The sequence below is a fragment of the Homo sapiens genome, chromosome 21 (assembly GCF_000001405.40).
Source record: "Homo sapiens chromosome 21, GRCh38.p14 Primary Assembly".
NCBI classification, from domain to species: Eukaryota; Metazoa; Chordata; class Mammalia; order Primates; family Hominidae; genus Homo; species Homo sapiens.
In genome coordinates, this window is record NC_000021.9 from 30,630,028 (window position 1) to 30,638,421 (window position 8,394).

At 37.0% G+C, this 8,394-nt stretch overlaps 1 protein-coding gene across 1 annotated transcript; it reads left to right on the top strand.

Moving 5' to 3' along the window:
* The first annotated feature begins 5,178 nt into the window (after positions 1–5,178).
* Positions 5,179–5,592, top strand: KRTAP20-2 (keratin associated protein 20-2). The gene has a single exon (NM_181616.3). The coding sequence runs from the start codon at positions 5,237–5,239 to the stop codon at positions 5,432–5,434; it is 198 nt and encodes a 65-aa protein (NP_853647.1). The 5' UTR covers positions 5,179–5,236; the 3' UTR covers positions 5,435–5,592.
* Positions 5,593–8,394: the final 2,802 nt, after the last annotated feature.

Sequence of the window (8,394 nt, forward strand, 5' to 3'; positions counted from 1 at the left end):
AGAAAATAATACTTCATCGTCATTGGAAGTGTAGGAGAAGCAAAGATGAGAGAAGACCCCTATTATCTCATGCATTCTTTGCTAGGCCTCAAATCAAGAAATTGCAGGAACCAGAGGAAAGCACAATTTTTTTTTTCCTTTTGAGATGGAGTCTCGTTCTGTCACCCAGGTTGGAATGCAGTGGCGTGATATCGGCTCATTGCCACCTCCCCCTCCTGGGCTCAAGCAATTCTCCTCCCTCAGCCTCCCGAGTAACTGGGATTACAGGTACATGCCACCATGTCTGGCTAATTTTTTTGTATTTTTAGTAGAGACGGGATTTCACAATGTTGGCTAGGCTGGTGTCAAGCTCCTGACTTCAGGTGATCTGCCAGCCTCAGCCTCCCAAAGTGTTGGAATTACAGGTGTGAGCCACTGCGTGCGGCCAGAAAGCATAATTTTCAATAGGTGGACTTCTCTCTTTCCAAGGCTAGTGATTCATAAGGAAATGTTCAGAGGATGCTGCAAAACCTTACATCCATGAAAAGCCATGAATATCATCTGCTTTGGCCACAGCAATGATATAGTTTTGGTCTCTTTTATCTTTCAAACTTCTTAAAGCTACTCTCATTGACTGAGAGTAAACACAATTCTTGTTCTGAGCAATCAAGTTCCTGAGAGAGTATGGAATGGTGCTAAGCTGCCTAAATATGATCCCACTAGGATTTATAAAATTTGTATTTTTTACAGATAGATAATAGTTGTACCTGTTTATGGGATACATGTGTTATTTTGATTCAAGCATACAATGTGTAATGATCACATCAGGGTAATTGGGGTATCTCTTATATTAAACATTTTAATTTATGTTAGTAATATTTCAATTTCACTCTTCTCATTACTTTGAAGTATACAATAAGTTGCTGTTTCCTGTGATCACCCTACTGTGCTATCAAATACTACACATTATTCCTTCTATCTAACTACATTTTTGTACCCATTAACCAACCCCTTGTTTATCCTCCCCACCGCCTCCCACTATCCTTCCCAGCCTATGGTAACTATCAAACTATCACTCTGTTCTCTTTCTCCATATACACCATTGTATTAATCACTTTCTCCATGAATATCCCTTGCTTCCAACACCTGCATTTGGATGGTGCTAGTAAAGAACATCTCAAATGTTAAATTTATTCATCTGAAATACACCATGCATTATAGTTGCCTAATACAGCCTAGAGTTTACATGAGTGGGATATTTTTTCTGTCTTCGTAAGGTACTTCTGACTCCCACAGGCAGGTGACTGCCGAGTAGGACTAAGACCCATCCCATGGCACTTTTGGCTCCTTTGCCTTGGATCAAGACCATGTGGGAAACACCTTTCTTCAGAACTGGTAGAACAACGGTGAGGCCAAAGGTGGGTCCTCGATTCCAGTCAAGGTAGGGGTAGAAAGTCATTCCACACATATACCACCTCAAGTGGAGGACCCAAGGAGCAGATCTGAGAATACCAGCCAAAACAGGTCATAGGCTAGTGCGAGGAGATGAAGGGAGTTCTGAAGGAACTATGGGAGCCAAGGCTCTCTGGCTCTTAAAAAGACACAATGAATGGGAGGTGGAGGCAGGAGAATTGCTTGAACCAGGGAGGCAGAGGTTGCAGTGAGACGAGATCACACCACTGCACTCCAGCCTGGGCGACAGAGTGAGACTCCGTCTCAAAAAAAAAAAAAAAACACAATGAAAAGATGGAGACTCATAAGGAAAAATTCTGAGTACAGAAAGTACACAAATTAATCATGGCAGGAGCAAGAAGAGAGAGGTTTCAGATCTTTTGGAAGGGAATTCAAACAGACAGAAAACAGTGAGTACTGGCAAAATAGTATTTGGGTTTATTTTTCCTGTTAGATTGAGGATTAATGCAAGGATAATTTATCAAACGTGATTCTGTGAGCAGTGAGGGACACCTTCTCACCATTTTAGATATTTCTCACTCTCAACAAGCACTGCAGTTGTAATGTTTCTTTGCTGCTATGTAGCCCACACCTTCCTCCTGGATGGTGAGATCCTGTTTCCCTAGCCATTTCAGGCCATGGTTGCTGCAATTTCTCATTAACAATTATCTCTGGGCATGGAAGAACACAGAACCCTTCAGTGAGACCCCTGAATTTCAAGTTTATTTCCTTGCACATAATCATTTATGATGTCATCTATTGTCTAAATACAAAGGAAATAATTCTGCATAAGATATATTATACTTACACAGTGAAGTTGTGATAGTATGTTCAAAGAGGCCTAGTTTCCATAAGTATCCACTTTGCCATCAATATATATTATTAATAAATTATATATTATATTGGTATATTACATAATTTATAATGTTAATAAATATTTACACCACAGTGATGTTGCACATACATACACTGTTAAATTGATGGCCCCATTCTCAGTCCTCCCAACTTAGGTGGGACAGCTAATTTATTCCTCTACTATGGACTCAGTGATATATGTGACTTGTTTTGATCAATGGGAGGTTAGCAAACTTGATATAAATAGAAGCTTTAAAAAAAGTTCATCCATTTCAAAAATTGAAAAGCTTAAATCAATGCTCTATAATTTTTAATTTGAATTGAAATTTTTAGTTTGAACTCATTACTTTTAATCTTTTTTAAAAAAAAAAAAAACAGAGGGTTTTTTGGCTCTCTCCATTGAAACAGCATATAAGCAATCACAATGTAGCAACAGTGAACATCACTAGTGTCCAGAGAGTCTTCTCCAAATATCAGTGTTTCTTTAAAGAAAAATAAAAGACCTCTTCCTAATCAAGGGCAGGAAAGATAAAAGATGAGTCTGGAAGATCTTCTCATATAAGAATTAAATAATTTACCGAAGATACTACTAAAGTCTTGTCAAAAAATACTTAAACCAAATTAAAAAGGTTTCTACCAGCCCATGATAGGACAACTTGACATCAAAAAGAGAAATAACTATAATTGATGGATACACGTCAATTAATTAAAACACTATGCTATTGTCATAAAGACAGACATATCGACCAATGACCAATGGAGCAGTATGGAGAGCCCAGAAATAAACCCATATATATGCAGTTATTTGATCCTGGCAAAGATAATTATTATACACACTAGAGAAAGTGTAGTTTCTTCAACAAATGATGCTGGGGTAACTGGATATTCACATGCAAAAGAATGAAATTGGACCCTTATCAAACATCCAACAAAAAACTCAACCTGACATAAATTAAAGACTTAAATATAAAGCCTCAAACTGTAAAACTATTAGAAGAAAACATAGAAGATTGTTGATATTGGACTGGGCAATGATTTCTTAGATACGATGTAGTGACTACAGTTTACAATAGTGCATTGTGCACTTAAATATTTAGGGTGATGTTATTAAAACATCTATGAGGCTGGGAGTGGTGGCTCATGCCTGTAACCCCAGCACTTTGGGAGGCCAAGGCAGGCAGATCACCTTAAGTCAGGAGTTCACGACCAGCCTAGCCAACATGGTGAAACCCCGTCTCTACAAAAATTAAAAAATTAGCTGGGTGTGGTGGTGCACATCTGTAATCCCAGCTACTCAGGAGGCTGAGGCACGAGGATCGCTTGAACGTGGGAGGTGGAGGTTGCAGTGAGCCCAGATCGCATCACTGCACTCCATGCACTCCAGCCTGGGCAAGACAGAGACTCCGTCTAAAAAAGCAACAACAAAAAAAGTCTATGAGTGCATAAGAATGTTTAAGCATATTATTTTCGCAACTGCTAAATTATATACTCATTCTGGAAATTGATAAATGAAAAAATCAACTATTTTCCTCTCCTGAATAAACTCATAGATGAGAATTTTTTTTCTCTTTATAGGTTTCTATCTTCTACAGGTAGAAGTAATGATAGAATTGTAAAATCAGCATTTTGAACTTCTGGCAATAATGGGTCTAGGTAACTATTACTGAATATAAAAAACTGTAGCTAAAAAGTTTATGGGGGAGATTGTAAAATGAACCCAATCCACAATCCCAGCCTTACTAAATGTGAAGCAATGGGCCACCCAGACACCATTTACATCCTAATATTATGTAATAAAATGTACACAGAGCAACTATAAAATATCACTCTTGTCAACAAATAGTAAAAATAACCAGAATCACATCAACCTTTGTCATCTACCTGTAGATGGTATGAGGGATAGAGGAAGATATGAAAAGGGAAAACAAGAAAGAAATCAGCCACGTCTAAAATGTAAGAATTCTATAGGACAATAACAAAGTTTCCTCGAAACAATAAAATACATTAAAAAGGAAAAAAAAGAACCATCACATCTCTAAAAAGAGTTAAAGACATGCCTAAATGTAATGAATGCGTGTCTTAATGTAAAAAAAAGACTATGAAAATATATTTGGGAAGCAATCAAGGAAAACTGATCACGAATTAACTATTAGGGGATGCCAAATAATTTTGTAATGTCATTGGTGTGATAACGGTATTGGGGCTCTCTCTATACATATTTTTTTAGACTTCTGTTGTGATAGAGATATTCACTGAAGTACTTATAAGAAAAATGTTGTCTTGCCTGGGATTTGTTTTAAAATGTTCAGCAGAACTAACTAACTAACTACAAAAAATGTACAGGGAGAGAAGGAACTGAAGACAGAATATTGATGATTATTAAATTCCAGGGATGTGTTTATAAAGCTTCAAAATACAATTCTATTTACTTTTATGTCTGAATGAAATTTACTTATTAAAGCAAATAATGAACAAGAAAAAAACTTAGCTGAGTATGCTAAATAAACTCTATTGTTAAAGTTATTTTTCTTTGTAGAAGATTCTCACATAATGTATGCACAAGTAATCACAGAATTTTAAACATCAACCTTTTACAACCCATTCAATGATTAAATTAGACACAAAGTTGTCAAATATTTTAAGCTAAACAAAGTATGAGTAAGGGCTTTAAAATAAGAATAAGAAAAACACATTAAAGGCATTTGATCATGAGAAGGCTGACACAATAGCAAAGTCATCTTGTTTATAAAGGCTTCACATTGTTTAATAAAACAAATATTCAGGAAGTATACTAATACAAATTAATAGAAAATATGCAATCAACAGGTCCTGTGGTGGGTCCCACCCACCACTGAGGGTGTATATAAAAGGACTGCCTGGGCATATAGGGATATTCAAACTGAAGAAACTGATTCCTTGCTCCTCAACCAAATCCTCCACTCTTGAAACCATGTGCTACTACAGCAACTACTATGGTGGTCTGCGTTATGGCTATGGAGTCCTGGGCGGTGGCTATGGCTGTGGCTGTGGTTATGGCCATGGCTATGGAGGCCTGGGCTGTGGCTATGGCCGTGGCTATGGTGGCTATGGATATGGCTGCTGCCGCCCATCTTGCTATGGAAGATACTGGTCCTGTGGCTTCTACTGAGAAATATCTGGCAACTCAACCTCGTGGTCTCTTCCACATGGACTTCCTAAATTTGCCTTCATAATTCTTCATATGAGTAATTCATTTTTCTGTTGTAAAATGTCAACATCATCCTTAAGTATCTGGAAGAAAAAATAGGTCAGATGCTGCAAGCCTCATCTAGAGTAACTGAAATCATTTGACATGTTTCACAGATTTTTAAAAAGCTTTGTTTTGATATTGTACTGTCATTAAATTGTTGATTTTTGATCAACTTATGTGAGAAGATGTAAAATTTCTTTTAATAAACATCTCATTGAAAGTATATTTATTTGTTGCATTTTAATTATGTTTATTGTGCATGTGTGTGTTTGCATTTTGGTGTATTGGCAAATGGAATGGGAAAGAAGAAAATATGAGAAAAAGAAAGAACAATTCTTCGGAGCATCCCAAGATGACAGTGATGTTTAGGCTAGTCCAACTTCATGCATATTTCTGTTTTTCTATGAAATTATATTTTGTTTTATTCCTACTCTTCTTAGTTTTAGCGTCAGTGTTTGAATAAGTCTGAGTGAATTTACTATATTGTGTGCAATTTATCTTTTATTTATGAACCTATTATCTTAGCATTTGTTGACTCAAATACCTCAGATGAAATAACTACTTTATTGGCAGATTCCAATCATGTGTTATACTTTTGTTTGTTATGGGGATTTAGAATCCCATTGTCCTGATGTAAATATTTCAGAGGTATCTGTTCATCATTCCAACTTTGGATATATTCAATTAAAACAATTGAATACAGTTCTTTGGGGATACTTTTAATATTTTCAAATGAAAATTTGCAACATTGCTACATCTTATAGCACATGATGCTATCAATGAGAAAACATCCTATAGGGACACATTATCACAATAATAGAAGTAATATAATCCATTGTCTTAAAAGTGACTGGCACATAGTAGGCCCTCAATAAATATCACTTAAATGATTAAATGTCATTTGCTTAGATGATGGAACATTAAAAAATCTATGTTATTTTAATGAATTACATTAATTCATTTGGGAGCATAATATAAATTGAAGCTGTGCACACATATACCTATATCCATGTCCAGAGTCTCATTGTCCAAATGATGACATTGTGTATAAAGGCACTACTTTAGGGAACCTGCTTGCAGGAGACATGGAGAATTCAGGCTTGGGCAGCTCTTTTCCGTCAACCAACTCTTAAAACTTTTCCATCAACAACTCCTATGTTATGTAGATAATGGTCACTTTTTTTGGCTAATACAATAACAATAAGATTGGGCTAAACTAAAATACCCTTAAAAAGAATAAATTATAATTACTTGTTAACACAAGTGAAAAATACATTAATACATTACCTACATGGATACTTAAATTCAACTGTAAGTTAGCTGCTAACATTTTATTTGAGTGATTAGTCTGAATTATAAGGTCAGTAATATTCATGGGTTGTGCAACCAACAACAGAAGATTGAAAAGTCCCTGAACTGCGCCATTGGTGACATTCAATCTGAAGAAACAGAGTCCCTTCTCTTTACTGAACTTTCCATTTCTGACACCATGAGCTGAAATGGCAACTCTCTGATGCCTTGTCTCTGGTTCTGGGCTGCTCATCTAACAGTGTAATATTCTGGTCATACAGACTCTATCAGGGTTTCTCTTGAGCAACTCAACCTGCTGGACTCTTCCTGTTGGGCTTCCTGACTCCACTTCCATACCCACATCGGAAATACTAATTTCATCTCTAACTACTAAAGAAAAATGTAACTCAAATTCAGCATGCTGTATTTTGATTAACTGAAATCAACGGGATGTCTTGTAATTTACAGAAAAGTTATACTCTTTGTTTTGTATTGACATTATTCCTCTTCATATATGTTCTTTTCTTTTTCTTTTTTCTTTCTTTTTTTTTTTTTTTTTTTAGACAGGGTGTCACTCTTGTCGCCCAGGCTGGCGTGCAGTGGCACGATCTAGGCTCACTGCAACCTCTGCCTCCTGGATTCAAACAATTCTCCTACCTCATCCTCCTGAGTAGCTGAGATTACAGACACCCGCCGCCACCACGCCTGGCCAATTTCCTTGTATTTTCGGTAGAAACGGGGTTTTACTATGTTGGTCAGGCTGGTCTCAAACTCCTGACCTCAGGTGATCTGCCCGCCTCGGCCTCCCAAAGGCCTGTATGTAGGGGTGGCTCTCCCCTACAGGCGTGAGCCACCATGCCTGGCCTGTATGTTCTTTTCATATATTTCATATGAGAAAATAAAGTTTATGTTAAAATGTACACTTGATATGATTTGGCTCTTTGTCTCCACCCAAATCTCATCTTGAACTGTAATCCCCATAATCCCCACATATCAAGGGAAGGACGGGGTGGGAGGTGATTGGATTATGGGAACAGTTTTTTCCCCATGTTATACTCATGTTAGTGAGTGAGTTCTCACAAGATCTGATGGTTTTGTGTTTTTGACAGTTCCTCCTTCACACTGTCTCGATCTCTTTCTTGCCATCTTGTGAAGAAGGAATTTGCTTCTCCTCTGCCTTCTGCCATGATTTTAAGTTTCCTGAGGCTTCCGCAGCCATGCTGAGCTGTGAGTCAATTAAACTTCCTTTATAAATTACCCAGTCTCTGGTAGTATCTTCATAGCAGTATGAAAATAAACTTACAATGCTCCTGTAAATTTTGTTGATTATACTTATATTAATTTCTCTCTATTATTTTTGCTTTTTCTGTTTGTGTGCATGTGTGTATGCGTTTTTCAGAGTGAAGCAGCGAGAGAGAGGCAGAGAGAGAGAGAGAAAGAGAGAAAAAGAGAGAGAGGAATAGAGAGATTCTGATATCTCCTGCAGTTTTGATGGCCCTGAAAATTTGTTCTGAACATCAGTTCCTTTTACCTAAGGTCATATGCAATCCAGTTTTCATGTGATTCAGCAGCCAGTGTTACATTTGGTC

Bases quoted from the DNA above. Each gene is read 5' to 3' on its own strand.
- KRTAP20-2 (NM_181616.3), top strand. From the start codon at position 5,237: ATGTGCTACTACAGCAACTACTATGGTGGTCTGCGTTATGGCTATGGA.